Genomic DNA, 17,425 nt, shown 5'->3' with positions numbered 1-17,425 from the left:
TGATTTCTTCTTGCTCATTAACATCTTTTTCTTTTAGTTTGAAGAATTCCCTTTATCATTTTTTGTAGGTCAGGTCTTTAGTTGATGAACTCTGTCAGCTTTTGTCTGGGAAAATCTTCATTTTTTCCTCATGCTTGAAGCATATTTTTGCAGGATATACTATTATAGGGTAAAAGGTTTTTTTGTTTTTTTTTTCCTTCAGTACCTTAGGTATATCCTGCCACTCTCTCCTGGCTTGTAAGGTTTCAAAGTCTGCTGCCAGACATACTGGAGCTCCGTTGTATGTTATTTGTTTATTTTCTATTGCTGCTTTTACGATTCTTTTTTTTTTTGAAAGGGAGTCTTACCCTGTCGTGCAGGCTGGAGTGCACTGGCTCAATCTTGGCTCACTGCAACCTCCGCCTCCCGGGTTCAAGTGATTCTCCTGCCTCAGCCTCCTGAGTAGCTGGGGTTACAGGCTTGTGCCACCATGCCTGGCCAATTTTTTGTATCTTTAGTAGAGACGGGGTTTCACCATGTTGGCCAGGCTGGTCTTGAACCCCTGACCTGGCAATCCACCCGCCTTGGCCTCCCAAAATGCTGGGATTACAGGCATGAGCTACTGCGCCCAGCAGGATTCTTTTTTTTTAATCTATGACTTTTGGGAGTTTGATTATTAAATGCCTTGAGGTAGTCTTCTTTGGGTTAAATCTACTTGGTGTTCTATAACCTTCTTGAACTTGAATGTTGATATACCTCTCTAAGTTTGAGGTGCCATTTTTAAAATTATTTCTTTCAATAAACTTTCTGCCCCTTTCTTTCTCTCTTTAAGGCCAATAACTCTTAGATTTGCCCTTTTCAGGCTATTTTCTAGATCTTCTGGCCTGCTTCATTATTTTTTATTCTTTTTTCTTTTGTCTCCTCTGACTGTGTATTTTCAAATAGGCTGTCTTTGAGCTCACTAATTCTTTCTTCTGCTTGGTCAATTCTGCTTTTATGAGACTCCAATGCTCTCTTCAGTATGTCAATTACATTTTTCAACTCCAGAATTTCTGCTTGATTCTTTTTATTTTAATCTCTTTGTTAAAGTTATCTGATAAAATTCTGAATTCCTTCTCTGCGTTATCTTGAATTTCTTTGATTTTCCTCAACACAGCTATTTTAAATTCTCTGAAATGTCACATATAGGTTTTTCTCTAGGATTGGTCTCTGGTGCCTTATTTAGTTCATTGGGTGAGGTCATGTTTTCCTGGATGGTCTTGATGCTTGCGGATTTTTTTTTTTTTTTTTTTTTTTTGGTGCCTGGACATAGAATAATTAGGTATTTATTGTAGTCTTCACAGGCTGGGCTTGTTTGTGCCTGTCTTTGTTGGGAATGCTTTCCAGGTATTTGAAGGGACTTGGGCCCCATGCCCAGTTACACTATGGTTCTTGCAATCTTATAGAGGTACCACCTTGGTAATCTTTGATATGATCCAGGAGAATTCACTAGATTATCAAACAGAGACTCATGTTCTCCTCCCTTACTTTCTCCTAAACACCCTGAGTCTCTCTCTCTCTCTCTCTCTCTCTGTGCTGAGCCACCTGGAGCTGGGGGTGGGGTAATATAAGCACCCCTGTGGCCACCACCACTAGAACTTCCTTGGGTCAGACCTGAAGCCAGCACAGCGCTGGGTCTTGCCTAAGGGCTGCTGTAACCACTAACTGGTTATCACCTATGTTCACTCAAGGCCCTAGGAATCTCTATACAACAGGTGGGGAAGCCAGTGAGGTTTGTACCCTCCCTTCAGGGCAGTAAGTTCCCCCACGCTGTAGGTGGGTTCATAGCTACTGTCTTGGAGCCAGGGATTGGAGTCAAAACCCTTAGAAATCTATCTGGTGTTCTGTTCTACTGTGGCTAAGCTGGCCCTCAAACCACAAGACAAAGTCCTTCCCACTGTTCCTTCCCCTTTCCACAGGCAGAGGAGCCTCACTCTGTGGCCACAATCACCACAGGCCCAAATGGAGTATTGCCAGGCTACAGCCAATGTTCCCATAGGGCCCAAGGGCTCTTCAGTCAGTCAGCTTGTCGTGAATGTTGCCAGGCATGAGACTCACCCTTCAGGATAGTGGACTCCCATCTGGCCCAGGGCAGGGCCAGAAATGCCATCCAAGAGCCTAGGCCTCGACTTGGGGACCTCAAGAGCCCACTTAGTGCTCTACCCCACTGTGGCTGAGCTCATACCTAAAGAGCAAGACTAAGTCCCTTTTACTTTTCCCCCTGTTTTTCTCAAGCAGGAGTCTTTCACCATAGTCATCACAGCTGGGAATATGCAAGGTTTCACCTAAAGTCAACATATCTAAGAATCTCACCTGAGGCCCACAGTATACTACCTGGATAGCGTTGTTAGTTATCCAGGGATCAAGAGCTCTCTAGTCAGCAGGTGATGAATCCTGCCAGGACTGGGTCCTTCTCATCAAGGCAGCTGGTTTCTTTCTGGCCCAGGATTTGTCTAGAAATGTCATCTAGGAACTAGGTCCTGGAATAGGGACCTCACAAGTCTGCCTGGTACCCTGTACTATTGTTGCTGAGCTAGTATCCAAGATGCAAGACAAAGTCCTCTTTACTCTTCACTCTCCTCTCCTTAAGCAGAAGGAATGAGTATCTTTTGCAGCTGTGAGCTGTGCTGCCTGGGGTTGGGGGAGGGGTGGCACAAGCACTCCCTTAGCTGCCCCAGCTGGTGTCTCCTTAGGTCATATACTGCCTTAATCCACTGGTTCTAAGCCCAGCACAGCACAAGGGTGTGCTTAGGAATAGCCATCCTTGTATCCTAGACTCCCTTTCAAGTTTATGACCCCAGAGCACCGCAGCCTGTGGTGGCAACGATTGCAGAGAAACTCAAGTTCTGATCGCTGGGATGGGAGATTCCCTTCTGGCCATGGCTGGTTCAAATGTTCCCTCCATGGGTGGGTGCCAGCTGAGCCCAGCACAGCTTTGCTCTCCACTGTGACAGGGCAGCACGGAGTTCAGTGCCAGCCCCCCAACCCCCACCCCAGTCACTGTGCTCTCCCTCTTCTAAGTGCATAGATTGTCTTTCCACACTATGTGGTTGCTGCCAAGGGATGAGGGAGGGTGACGTCAGCAATGTGTTTTCTATCCTCTCGGTGTCTCTTTCAGTGATAGGAAGTTAAAGCCACGTAACTTTACCTGATTTTTGGCTCTTATAACACTGCTTTTTGTGTGTACTTAGTTGTTAAAATTTGGTTTTCCTGCACGGAGAACCCTTGGTGACATCTTCTATTCAGCCTTCTTGCTCTGCCTTCCTGACACTCTGTACATCAATTTCAGATGTTCAAAAGTCTCATAATTTTTTGCATATTTGCCTTAGTATGAGACATTAAAAGGTAGAAAATTCTGAAGATAGAGGACTAAGCACATATATTTACTTTTCTTCCCTCCTGAAATCCTATTGAAATGTCAGTAAAGACATGTAGTAAAGCAAACCTGAAAGAAATTTGAGGTGCCATTGGGATATTTCTGGAAGATAGAAAGTAAAGAGGCTCAGACCAATGAATAAACTGGAGGCATGGAAACAACACTCTACAACATGCAAAAGAGGAAGTTGCTATGGTAGTAAGAGCCATTCCCTGGAGTAATGCCAACTTCAAAGACAAAAATAACAGAATGAAGTAGGCTACAGGGTAGTCATCAAGGAGGGAAGGCTCTGAAGAAGTGTTTATGAGCAGCCAAATAGTTTAGCCCCTTCTTCTCATTATGCCATAGCATTTGCTTCCTTGAAATGTTTTCTCAACAAAGTTGAAAATCTAGGTGGTTAGCACATACAGCTATGAGTGTTGAACACAATATGAGAAGCAGAACAGATTCTAGGTTACTTCTGGGCCTCTACCAAGGCATGGGAAAGAACAAAGAAGCAGAACTAATCCACAGTGAGAAAAATAAATTATTCCGTTACAGGAAAGAGGTCCCTATCCAGACTCCAAGAGAGGGTTCTTGGATCTTGCACAAGAAAGAATTCAGGGTGAGTCCATAGAGTAAAGTGAAAGCAAGTGTATTAAGAAAGTAGAGGAATAAAAGAATGGCTACTCCATAGACAGAGCAGACCCGTGGGCTGCTAGTTGCCCATTTTTATGGTTATTTCTTGATGATATGCTAAACAAGGGGTGGATTATTCATGCCTTCCCTTTCTAGACCATATAGGGTAACTTCTAATGTTGCTGTGGCATTTGTAAACTGTCATGGTGCTGATGGGAGTGTAGCAGTGAGGATGACCGGGGTCACTCTTGTGGCCATCTTGGTTTTGATGGATTTTGGCTGGCTTCTTTACTGTAAGCTGTTTTATCCCTTAGCCCTTAATCCTAAACTTAATCCTACTGAAAGCTATTTTAACCCTTAGCCCTTAATCCTAAGTGTTGCAGAGGGAGGAAGATCCATCTTCCATAACTTCTTCAGGCTGAATAGGGGTGATGATATTCCTGCCTAACTATTAGGGTCTCCTGTGTTCAGGGTAGAGAGGAGCTCAGTCAGAAAGCATCAGTAGGAATCAGTAAGGAATCTCAAGACTTTTAAATTTTATTTTCTCAAGCATCAGTGAGGAATCTCAAGCCTTTTTTATTTTATTTTTATTTTTATTTATTTACTTATTTATTGAGACAGAGTCTCACTCTGTCATCCAGGCTGGAGTACAGTGGCATGATCTCAGCTCACTGCAACCTCTGCCTCCTGGGCTCAAGCAATTCTCCTGCCTTAGCCTCCTGAGTAGCTGGGATTACAGGCATGTGCCCCACACTCAGCTAATTTTTGTACTTTTAGTAGATACCAGGTTTTGCCATGTTGGCCAGGCTGGTCTCAAACTCCCAACTGCAGGAGATCCTCCTGTCTCAGCCTCGCAAAATGCTGGGATTACAGGCATGAGCCACTACACCTGACCTCAAGACTTTTTTAAAGCCAAGCCAAGTCATGGGCTTGTACCCTCAAATACCTATGAGTTGAGTAAATTCCTCTCCTTTTAAGGTCCCAAGATAACTTGGAACTCCTGGCTCTATTAGAAAGTGACATTCTTTACTTACCACAGGACAGAAACACTGTGTGCAGAGACTGTGTAGACAAGGTATGAGGCCAGTTCTCCAAAAGGCTTTTATTGGCTTTACAAGTCAAGTTTGATTCCTTAAAGGAATGGACACCATTCCAGTCAAAGCCTTGGTAAAATACCAGAAACTGGTTATTGTGTCCTTTATGTCCTGTTACAAATGAAAACAGATTCTTTTTTTTTCTTTCTTTTTTTTGAGAGGGAATCTCGCTCCGTCACCCAGGCTGGAGTGCAATGACACGATCTTGGCTCACTGCAACCTCTGCCTCCCAGGTTCAAGTGATTCTCCTGCCTCAGTCTCCTGAGTAGCTGGGATTACAGGCACCCACCATCATGCTCGGCTAATTTTTGTATTTTTAGTAGAGACGGAGTTTTGCCATTTTGACCAGGCTGGTCTCAAACTCCTGACCTCAGGTGATCCCTCTGCCTCGGACTCCCAAAGTGCTGGGACTACGGGCATGAGCCACTGTGCCCGGCCGAAAACAGATTCTTATTGCACTTATGCAAATAACTATATTGCCATAAATTAAGAACATTCACAAATAGTTTCCAAATTCTGGAGAAATCACATGGAGAGAAACAAATATGCCCCAAATTTTGGTCACAGGAGTATACTTTACTCAATTGTTTAAAGCTATAAATAGCTCAAAATAAAAGTTTTCTTGATTCTGAAAAACAAAACAAAAGATCAGCAACATTTTAAGCCAAATGTTAAAAAGATTATTTTAGACTTCTATTAGTTTAGTCAATGCAGTTAACTCGTGTTTGATAGTCATGAACATTTCAGCTCTCCATGAGAGTCCTGAAAGTTTTTTCCTCCATTCTGATGTCACAGTCTCCAAAGTTATCAGAAAACCTGCATTCAAGAACATCTGCTAGAGTTGTATAGTTGATCATAAATCACCTACTAAAGAGGACCAAAACAAGACAACAATTGTCTGTGGATGACAAAACATCTTAGGACAGTCACAGTTAAAAACATAATTGACAAAGAAATTCAGCTATCTTTGTAGCATACAATAATTTTATGTAATAATTATTTAATAACATACACTAAGTCATTTTAGAATTATAAGTTTTGCATAATTTTGGAACGTATACCAATAACATATTTATACAAATACAGCCCAAAGAAAATGAAACACCATTTTACATTTGATAATGCTTCCTGTATGACTTTATACTAAATAAGCTAAATGTCACTGTTGCATTAGTGCATTATTGGTGTCAAACCGAATTCTTAATAAAACCTTACAGACAAATGTATTCAATCTTAATCAGTTTGACCATAAGGTAAGATTTGCATAAATCTTTTATAACCCTTTACAAGTTTTGTTAAAGAGCAGATTAAAAGCAAGTCTTTGCCCTAAGGAAAACCTGTTGTACTTTTATTCCAATGTATGGAAACACTGAATAATACCCCTGTAACTTTAGCCAACATGTTCACACACAGAATTTTTTTTACAAGATTAATTTTTCACAAAACTTCCACAACTTGTTTAAACCTTCAGCCTTATTTTATCTAACTTAAAACAATCCTTTAGCCAAAAAGTAAATAAATCCACATTCCCATGACTTCCTATAATCTTTTACCAAAAGCATATTCTACTTTCCTTACAGGCCTTGCGTGTAGACTGTTTTTCAATAGTCTCAATTACATGTTAAGTGTTAACTCTTAGCGACTTTTACTTTTGGTAAAAACCTTGGTAAGTATGGGATTTTTAATTTTGTACTAGGTGTGGAGCCTGGGACCCAGACAGAAGTGCAGATAAGGTCTGACTCTTTCCAGCGTCTAACTCCACATGTCCCAGGCCTTACCTAGCTGTAAAACAGGCAAGTTGTACAGTTAAGAGTCATAGTGACATTTTATGAAGCAGTTAGGAGGCCTAATCACCTTTAAATTGTACATTTCTTGCATAAATTCCCTTTCATAAATTCTTTCACAACTTACACAGACAATCTATGACGTACTTGGACCTTCCGACTTGTCCTAAACATCTCTCTTTTTAAACAACCAGTTATTTTACTTTAGGATAAAAATTTATATACAAGAGCATTTCTTACATAAAATTTCTTTTCTTCATAACCTTCTTTGCATAGTTAGGGGTCATGGTTGATTTCACGTATCCCCAGGCCTTATCTAGAGTCTAATGCTCCAAAACAAATTGAATAATTTTTCAAAGTTAAGCAGTTTATGACCTTAAAGTATTTAGCAAACTTAATATCTGACCCACATAATTTAGACCCAATGTTTACATTTTTGAAGATATTTTTATTTACCAATAATGTTTAAAACTGTCTTTATTTCCCAAATATTACTTCAGTCACATGAACTAAATGAAAGGCATTACACTTATTACTTTTCTGACAAAATATTTGATTTCAGGTCTTATTATTAAGCCAATTAATCAAGCTCTTTCACATATAAACATCACACACAACACATATAAATACACAGACAGAAGATAGAGGACTCATTCCCTAAGGCGGGAATTGGACCCTGAACCTGGGCCACCATTGTGATGGCAGAGACCAAGAGAAAGTACTGCCATGTGGTTACAAGGTCAAGCTCCCAAGGACATACAAGACAAGAGGGAAACCTTATCCAGTTTTTTTCAGGGACTTGCAGCAAAGTTTGTAACTTGACAGTTTGCTGGGCCATCTTGAAAAGTGGGCTTACAAGGTGTCCTAAGCCCATGTTCTATCCTAAGGTACACCTGTTCATGACAAAACAATACAGAAAGACACACAAAGTATACCAGCTTCACTACAGCTTAAGACTAGCTTCACAAGTCCTTTTTCCCATTAATCAAAACTTTGTAGAAGATAAACACTGATTTTTACCATTCATTCAACCAGTTTGCCCAGAGAGAAAAAGGAAAGCATTGCCTCAGGCGGGGTGGGGAAGGCGAAGAGTTCAGGGAGACCAGAGAAAGACCTATCCATTGTTCAAAAGTTCAAGTGGCCACTTGTTGGTCACAAAGGGGTCTTTTCCAGCAGTTCCATCAGCTCTCAAGTTTTTCCCTTTTTGGGGAGGAAAAGCTCCCCATGTCCTGTGATCCTGTACATGCCTAATGCTGTCACCCATAGCCATCAGCAAAGAGTGCAAGGCAGATTAATCCAAAGAGAATAGCAGTTCACATCCCGTAGTGCCAAACCCATTCTTAGCCAAAAGGGACTTTACCGAGAGGGGCCTCTAACCCCTAAATCTTATAAGGAACCCTAACCCTCCTAAGTTGGGTCTCTAACCCAAGGTTGGCCAAGCATCCCTGCCTTTTATTAAGAGGGAACTCTAACCCAGTGTCTTAGGAGAGACTCTGACTCCCCTAAGTTGAGCCTCTAACCCAATCCCATTATTTACCCGGGTACCCCACCACTTACCCAGAGTTGGCTGATCAGTGCTGTGGTCCATTTCCTTTGGATTGGGGGGTTTCTTCAGTATCATCCCTTTGGGGTTTGCCAGAAAGATGTTACCAGGCCCCACCACTTGCCCAAAGTTAGCCTTTGGGTTGGGGGTTTCCTTATTATAGTCCATTCTGTGGTCACCAGAAAGATGCTAGAGGAAAGGAGTCCTGATCCAGACCCCAACAGAGGGTTCTTGGATCTTGTGCAAGAAAGAATTCAGGGTGTCCATAGAGTAAAGTGAAAGCAAGTTTATTAAGAAAGTAGAGAAATAAAAGAATGGTTACTCCATAGACAGAGCAGCCCCATGGGCTGCTGGTTGCCCATTTTTATGATTATTTCTTGATGATATGCCAAACAAGGGGTGGATTATTCATGCCTCCCCTTTCTAGGCCATATAGGGTAACTTCCTGATGTTGCCATGGCATAGTGGGAGTGTAGCAGTGAGGACAACTGAGGTTACTCTCATGGCCATCTTGGTTTAATGGGTTTTGGCTGACTTCTTTATTGCAAGCTGTTTTATCAGCAGGATCTTTATGATCTGTACTTTGTGCTGACCTCCTATCTCATCCTGTGACTTAGAATGCCTTAACCATCTGGGAATGAAGTCCAGTAGGTCTCAGCCTTATTTTACCCAGCTCCTATTCAAGACGGAGTTGCTCTGGTTCACACACCTCTGGCAATTCCACTGTAGCTGTAATGTACTCTTGGTTGGTCACTTGTGCAAATCATCAGATATGTGCTTGCTTCTGTTCACAAATCCTAAGGAGATACCCACTGATAGATACACAGCATTCACTCATGTAGCGTCTGAATCAACATTCCTGCTCTGGCGTTATAGGACCTTTTGGATAAAACAACCTCTTAACGGTAGAGAAAATCCTTGCTAGCTGCCAATATGTATCAACCTAGTCCTTTGTCAATAAATAAGAATGGATCACCATGGATCATTTAGACATTTGAGGCAAATCAATAGCATGAAAGTGGAGAATCAAGTTTAACCAAATGAATGGTAGTGGCAGAAAGGCTAGCTGTCTACCAAAGGTTAGTGATCTCCGTTCATGGCATACAGCTTTCCTGGAATCAAATGCCCAGCCAGTGGCAGCATTTCCCAGACACCTTCGCAGCCAGGTAGGGTCATGTGACTAGCTCTCACTAGAGAGCTCTTAACCACATTTAAGCAGATGTCGTAAGAGTCATTTCTTGGCCAAAGCAATCAAGAAGCTAGTTTGTCTTTCCCACTTACTTCTTTCCCCATAGCTTCTGCACTTATTTCTTCTCAAATGTCACCTCCTCAGAGACCTTCCCTGATATTCCTAAATAAAATAGCTCACACTCTGTCCTTGCTCCATCACTCTTAATCTAGCCCATTGCCATGTTTTACTTGTTCTTATAGCACTTCTCACCGTATGATTTTTGATTAAATATATCTGTTTATGTGTTTGTAAAAAATCTGTCTTCCCCACTAGAATAAAAACTCCATGAGGGCAGGGAATTTAATTTATTGCAGCTATATCCCAGCCTCTACAGCAGTGTATATAACCTATCAAACATTCAGTATATAGAGAGAATGAATGATTAAAGCTTTGATGGTGGGGAAATACATGTGCCTCAAGAAGGAGTATCATATCATTCAGTTTTTAGTTAGGTATCCATGCTGAGGTTGTCAAGGGGTGCTAGAGAAACTCAAGGACAGTTTTGTATCTTTCACATATAAATAGACCCAGTGGGGTGAAGCTTCAAAAAGTCTAAGGCTACAATTTCCAGGTGAGTATATTGACAAAGGTTGAGGGAAGGTATTGAATTTTTGCTGCACCCACCCTTGTTCACAGTGGTCTGTGGGCTCTGTCACTTCCAGTACAGTTCTTCGCTATAGTGAGAAGCTGCAGGATGCTTAAGTAGTCTCTGAGGGCTGCTGTTTTGTTCAGCTTTCTTTTTTTTTTTTTTTTTTTTGAGACAGAGTCTTGCTCTGTCGCCCAGGCTGCAGTGCAGTGGCGCAATCGCGGCTCACTGCAAGCTCCATCTGGGTTCACACCATTCTTCTGCCTCAGCCTCCCAAGTAGCTGGGACTACAGGCGCCCACCATCACGCCTGACTAGTTTTTTGTACATTTAGTAGAGACCGGGTTTCATCATGTTAGCCAGGATGGTCTCAATCTCCTGACCTCGTGATCCACCCGCCTCGGCCTCCCAAAGTGCTGGGAATACAGGCGTGAGCCACCGCGCCCGGCCCTCAGCTTTCAAACAATACAGAAGTGCGAAAATTAGGTCACACCTCATGAAATTTAAATAATGAAACATTCTACCTAGCTTTATAATACCCTAGTTCTCCAACTGCTATATTTCATTGTGCCTGTAAATAGGAATTACTATTTTTGGTTTAGTATCACAACTTGAGGTGAATTTCTGCCCACCCCTATCCCTGGCCATTGTGGGGGAACTGACATGTTTTATTATTTATTCTTGCTCCTCAGAATGGATTGGGATGATGAATATTCTCATAATTCTTTTGACCTACATTGTTTGTTAAACTCATTTCCTGGAGACTTGGAGTTTGAGCAGATCTTCAGTGACATTGATGAAAAGATTGAACAAAATGCTGCAAGGTAAATATTGTTAATTATTTAAAACAAGTTGTTTTCACATTTCACTTATATGAAATTTACCTGGTCTATTTGTATCCTGCTCTTAGATAATTTTAGGTTTTAATTATCATTAACTTTCCCCCAAAATATTGATTAGACCCCCCTCTCACTTAAAGTTTACATGATTGTCTTTATCTGAGTAGTATTTTTAAGACTAGAAAATAGAAGCACTATCTTGAAATAGGCAATTAAAGTTTATTGAATTGGCACTAATGTTTTCTTAGAGCTTGTCAATGTTGATGTCCTGGATTTTCATTAATATGGTTAGAGTGTAAGGCCCTGATTGCTTGAGTTACTAAAAACAGAACATTAAAATAAATTATTTTTGCATAATATTGGTCATTTTATGATTCTTTCTCACTTAAGTAGGAGGCTAGAGACTTTATAGAGAGTTGTTATGCTAGATTAGTCATCACCTATCCCAAAAAGTCGTGTTACCAAATACTGGGGGAAACAGTGACAGCTCAATGGTTTCTCATTAATACGTGTTCTTTGGTAGAAAGGACTCTGTTTTCATATGTAGTTGTGGACCCTATAATCAGGCAGTTACTTATTTGCATCCTTTTGATCAAAGGTTCTAATTTACCTCATGTAGGTTACAAATGTGCAAACCACAGTAAAAATTTCTATTGTGTAATGATACATAGCATTTCTTTTTTTAAAATTTAAGATATAGTTACCTTGAATTTCCAAAGAAACTGAACCAAGTAAGTGAAATGGTCCTATGATATTTTTCCTTCTGCTTTACGTGAGAATAGTTAGTTCTTTATTATAACAATGGGCATAAGTAAATTCAAAAGATAGCATATTGTTGGAGAATTATACTTAAAAACAAAATCTTCTCCCATCCCAGAAATCCTCTCCATGAAGGTAGTAGAGAAAGGAAAAAGAAACACTTTTATTATTGAATAAGCATTAAAAACCAAAATATGATGTGCATTTCAGGCAGTTCACTAAGAGCTTGCAAAAATGGAAGGGAATCCCACCCCTTTAAATAGCAAAGCAGATACAGCCCATTACATTACATGTTATTAAGATAAACAATCACTAGTCCTCAGGTAGGAAGACTGGATAGCATATTTTGTCACACATAGTTCATCCTAACTTTTTACAATGGTAATTGGGGAAACCACCTGTGTTAGCTAATTGGCTTTATCCTGAGGAGAAAGAAACTTTTTTGTATCTTTATGACAGGAGATAGTTTTGCAAATTGCAACAGGCAACCACTGAAGTTAGGCTCTTACTCTCCCACAGGAACTGGGAGATTGGGGAGCTATCTCCCTTGATGCTTGCATTTCAAGAAGATAGCTCCCAGGTTCTTGAGAAAGACATTCTTGGGTCACAAAGCTGACAAAAGGACTGCTGACAAACGGCATATCTAGTCTTCCGAGGAATAGATACATGGCAAAAGATGAAAAAGTACTTATGATTACAAGCTTTTTTTTTTTTTTTTTTTTTTTTTTGAGTCACCCAGGCTGGAGTACAATGGCACGATTTCGGCTCACTGCAACCTCCGCCTGCCTGGTTCAAGCGATTCTTGTGCCTTAGCCTCTCAAGAAGCTGGGATTACAGGTGCCCGCCGCCACACGCAGCTAATTTTTGTATTTTTGGTACAGACAGGGTTTCACGACATTGGCCAGGCTAGTCTCGAACTCCTGACCTCAGGTGATCCACCCGCCTCAGCCTCCCAAAGTGCTGGGATTATAGGCGTGAGCCACCATGCTTGGCCTATGATTACAAGCTTTCTAAGGTAAATGCTCTAAGGAAAAAGGAGAGGAGGGAAATCTTTTCCCTTATTTTCAACAGGGAAAATTAAACTTCTTATTTTTAATTTGTATTTGCCCTTTATACTATACCTATATATATACACATTATATATGTATTTTAGAGATAGACTTAACCAAACTGAGAGTGTATAATTGATATTTCATATAAATATAAAATAACTATAGGGTAATTATGTATTTATATCTTTCATGTTATATATTTATGTATTTTATGACGCAGTTTCTAACACAAAGGAACTTACAAATGAAAATAGTGTTACTTAAATAGATTAACAAGACATTTACCTAAATTTCAGAGATGGTTATAGTTTTAAAAATTGAAATATTTTTAAAAAGGTAAACCATTTCCTTCACAATGGCATTTAGGCTCCATCAGAATAAAACAAGTCACTGAACTCTGATGCTTTTGTTCTGGATTGCTTATTTTTATTTATGAACCATTCATACTTAATTTTTTGCCTAACCTAGTCAAAAATAAATCATATTTAAAAGTAAAACAGTGATTAAAACATTGTATTTTGCATTAAAAAATAGTTATTAGGTCAAAACTCAGATGTTAGTGTTAAAAAGAAAATACAATATGGAACATAGGATATAATTTTTAAATTAAAAATATTTTATTGCCCATATATTAAAACGAACCTAGAGCAGAACGTCTTCAAGTGACCATTGATCTTCACAAGGGACCAAATAAGGAAGTAGCTCTATGTGCTGTATACTACATTTAGAATCAAGTCTATTTTTCATCAAATTCAATTATGTTTTTATTATACTCCAGAGAATAAACATAATAGTATAGGGTATATATATTTTTTAAAATAAAATACTGAATAATAACTGTGGTTCAGAAGAGTATAAATCATTTATGCACTCATTTATTGCCTTCTAACAGAATAGCTTTTAGAAAATTGTATGTCATGACGAATCAGTTATGCCACACTTACACTGCAGTAGTTGAATTACCCTTGGCATTTTTGTATTCTAACAGTTCTATTTATCTCCCAGTAGTGTACATTGAATAAGTAATGAACATCTGTATGGTATAGGTTTTCCTCCATAGTTTTAAAAGAAAAAAACAACATTAGTAATTCATTTTAAAATATGATATTTTTTCCTTATACTTGAATTTTTAAAGTAGCAGTGACCCTGACATCTATTTATGAATTCCTTCTCTCTTCTTAATATCATCAGGTTTTATGAGCCACAGGGTCTATTGCCTCCCCAAAGCAGTGATTCACCCGAATGGACCAGTGTGCCCAAAGGTCACTGAACCTTCACCTGCCCTTCAAGAAAGGCTGTCATTCTCAGACCACTTCACTTTTACATTCTCGTTTCCATTCAAGTCAGACCTGGGTGACTAGTAGGTCTGACAGCAGAAATTAGTGATGATGAATCATTTATTCAAACACATATCAAAATAGGTAACAAGAGGTAAATAACATGCCAAAGAGAAACATTATGAATGTTGTACCTCCGTATCATTAGTTCCCTAACTGAAAACTGCATATAGCACTAATGAACTGAGTGGTACTTATTAGTTTAACAAGATACTGAGGTACAGAAGTTCTTCTGGGCTCACAATATGACACAGCATAGGCTGGATGTGGTGGCTCATGCCTGTAATCCCAGCACTTTTGGAGGCTGAGGCGGGCGGATCACAAAGTCAGGAGTTCGAGACCAGCCTGGCCAATATGATGAAACCCTGTCTCTACTAAGAATACAAAAATCAGCCGGGCGTGGTGGTGCACACCTGTAATCCCAGCTACTCAGGAGGCTGAGGCAGGAGAATCGCTTGAACCCAGGAGGCAGTGGTTGCAGTGAGCCGAGATCACACCACTGCACTCCAGCCTCGGCAACAGAGCAAGATTCAGTCTCAAAAAAAAAAAAAAAAAGGCCGGGCACAGTGGCTCATGCCTGTAATCCCAGCACTTTGGGAGGCCGAGGCGGGCGGATCACGAGGTGAGGAGATGGAGACCATCCTGGCTAACACGGTGAAACCCTGCCTCTACTAAAAATACAAAAAATTAGCCGGGCGTGGTGGCGGGCGCCTGTAGTCCCAGCTACTCAGGAGGCTGAGGCAGGAGAATGGCGTGAACCCGGGAGGCAGAGCTTGCAGTGAGCCGAGATAGTGTCACTGCACTCCAGCCTGGGCGACAGAGCGAGACTCCGTCTCAAAAAAAAAAAAAAAAGACACAGAATGATTTTTCCCCCTTAATGTTCAGTTGGATAAATATAATTGTATCTTAAAAATTTTCATTTTCTAATTATAGACAACTTCTGTGTGTAGCTTAGGAAGTAAGTTTTGCTGGTACCAATGCAGCTGGACTACTTTTTTTTTTTTTTTAATCTAAAGAAAGATGTAATCTCAATACTTGGGGAGGCCAAGGCAGGAAGATCACTTGAGGGCAGGAGTTTAAAACTAGCCTGGGCAACATAGCAATACCCCATCTCTACTGAAAAAAAAAAAAAAAAATTAGCCCAGGCTTGGTTGGTTGCTCACCTGTGGTCCTAGCTACTTGGGAGGCTGAGGTGGGAGGATTGCTTGAGCCCAGGAATTTGAGGCTGCACACGCTATTGTACTCCAGCTTAGGCAACAGGGCTGTCTGGAAAGGAAGGGAGGAAAGGAAAGGGAAAGGGAAATGAGGAAAGGAAAGAAAAGGAAAGAGGGAGGGAGGAAATGGAGGAAGGGAGGAAGGAAGGAGCAAGAAGTGCTACCAGGTCGGGTGGGGGCTCATGCCTATAATCGCAGCACTTTGAGAGGCTGCGTGTGGTGTGCAGATCTTTTGAGCTCAGGAATTTGAGACCAGCCTGGGCAACATGGCGAAACACTGTCTCTACAAAAAACAAAAACAAAAATTAGCTGGTGTGGTGGCTCACCCCTGTGGGTTTAGCTACTTGGGGTGCTGAGGTGGAAGGATCGCTTGAGCCTGGGAGGTGGAGACTGCAGTGAGCTCTCGTTGCACCACTGCGCTACCGCCTGGGCAACAATGTGAGACCCTGTCTCAAAAATAAGAATTGCTACCAGCAATAATACTGTTTGACTTCACCTAGAAAATGCAGGGAGAGGGGAGACATTTAACCATGCCTATTAATGAGATGGTACATATTCCATAGATTACACTTATTTTTTATATAATGCTTAAATTTTTTGAGCTTCCATATTAAAAATTTGCTTTCAAGTTTTCCGTATGATGGCTGTTTATATGTATGTAGATACACACACACTCACACACACACACAAATATTAATATATTTTATAGCCAGAGCAAATTCTACAAAATGAAAATTAGTCATTTCAAAGGTTTTACTGTGCATTATTATTTCTGGCAGTATTGTGGCACTTATTTAATAATAAGAAGATGCAAATTAATGTTTGCAATCGTTTTTGTAACTTCTTGTGTTTGCACTTCAGTTTTGGGTTTCTTCATTATATACTACATCTCAAAGAATCCCTACCTCTTCTCCCCTCCTACTGAGCAAACCAGGCCACATAGGAAGAAACCTGAAATGGGCTAATTCCCCCAACTGCTGTTGAACTCAGAGTAAAACCTTAACCCACTTTCCAACTCTGACTGGGCCTTTCCAGCACCCTTGTTCTCTCCAGAATTAAGAATGCATCCTGGGCAGACAGCATCCTGGGCTTCAGCAGCGCAGTAGCCTAAACTTTTTCTGGCCCCATTCATATTTCCTACTTTTTAAACTTTTCCAATTCTCCCACTGAAGCTCTCAGCATGAAGTCCAGTGATGCTTGCAGGTAGAGGTGGTGGTAAGTGGGAAAAAGACTCTCTCATGGTGGCCTGTTGAACCATTTTTTCATCATCATTTTCTGTCATTATTAGTTCTATTATTTTGATTGTCTATGGTGATACTTACTCCTTTCTCCGTCATCATACATAGTGTGTCCTCAGTGTTTCCTGTAGACCTCTGCTTTAGGAGGCTGAGATGAATAGGGTAAAATGTGGAGTCAGTAGCTCTGTTGGATAATTGTTACAAGACTCTTTCAAGTGTTGTGGACATTTCAAGTGTTTGAGTTTTTTTTAAGTACAGTATAGCTTTTATTTTTAAATGTGTTAGCTTCACCTACTCTTGGCCAAATAAGCATAAGACAATAGAGAATTGTTGTTTGGGGATATTCCTAAATGATATTATTGTATTATCTTTCCATGGCAAATAAGGAAAGGGAAGCACGTGTCTCCCTGTTTATAAATTGTTATAACAAAAGTTGAATAGTATGATACTGAAAATCCAGACTTCATAAAGAGATCGAGCCAATAGTAGTTGGACTACTATTTCCCAGAGAGGATCTTAGTTAATGGGCCAGTGGGAAGTAAGCCCCGACCCTTGATGTAACAATCTGAGGTGCCTGGTGAAGACCTGGCCCAGCTCTGAAAGCAGAAACAGGGGAGGGAACACTATAAGAGGACTGGAGCCATGGTAACAGATATGACTGCTGTGGCCGGCTCATCTTTCATGTTGGGTGGTGCCTGGAGATTGAATCCAAGCCTGTCAACTTTGCCAGGAAAAGA

General features: G+C 40.6%; 1 protein-coding gene across 34 annotated transcripts in view; it reads left to right on the top strand.

The window, feature by feature from the left end:
* Nucleotides 1-17,425, top strand: part of KIAA0825 — a 467,754-nt gene that overhangs the window by 70,536 nt on the left and 379,793 nt on the right. For 32 of the 34 annotated variants that reach the window (XR_948246.3, NR_169751.1, NR_169752.1 and 29 more), the window contains one exon: nt 10,942-11,073. Coding sequence is in view for 28 of the 34 variants with exons in the window: in NM_001145678.3 (NP_001139150.1) it covers nt 10,943-11,073 (131 nt within the window). In the remaining 6 variants the exon portion in view is untranslated. Of the gene's footprint in view, nt 1-10,941; nt 11,074-12,728; nt 12,863-17,425 lie in introns of those variants that run through there. The other 2 variants (NM_001385724.1, XM_011543335.3) reach the window with 2 other exon arrangements.

This window comes from Homo sapiens, chromosome 5 (assembly GCF_000001405.40).
Source record: "Homo sapiens chromosome 5, GRCh38.p14 Primary Assembly".
Lineage (NCBI taxonomy): Eukaryota > Metazoa > Chordata > Mammalia > Primates > Hominidae > Homo > Homo sapiens.
This window is presented reverse-complemented; position numbering and strand designations above follow the sequence as displayed.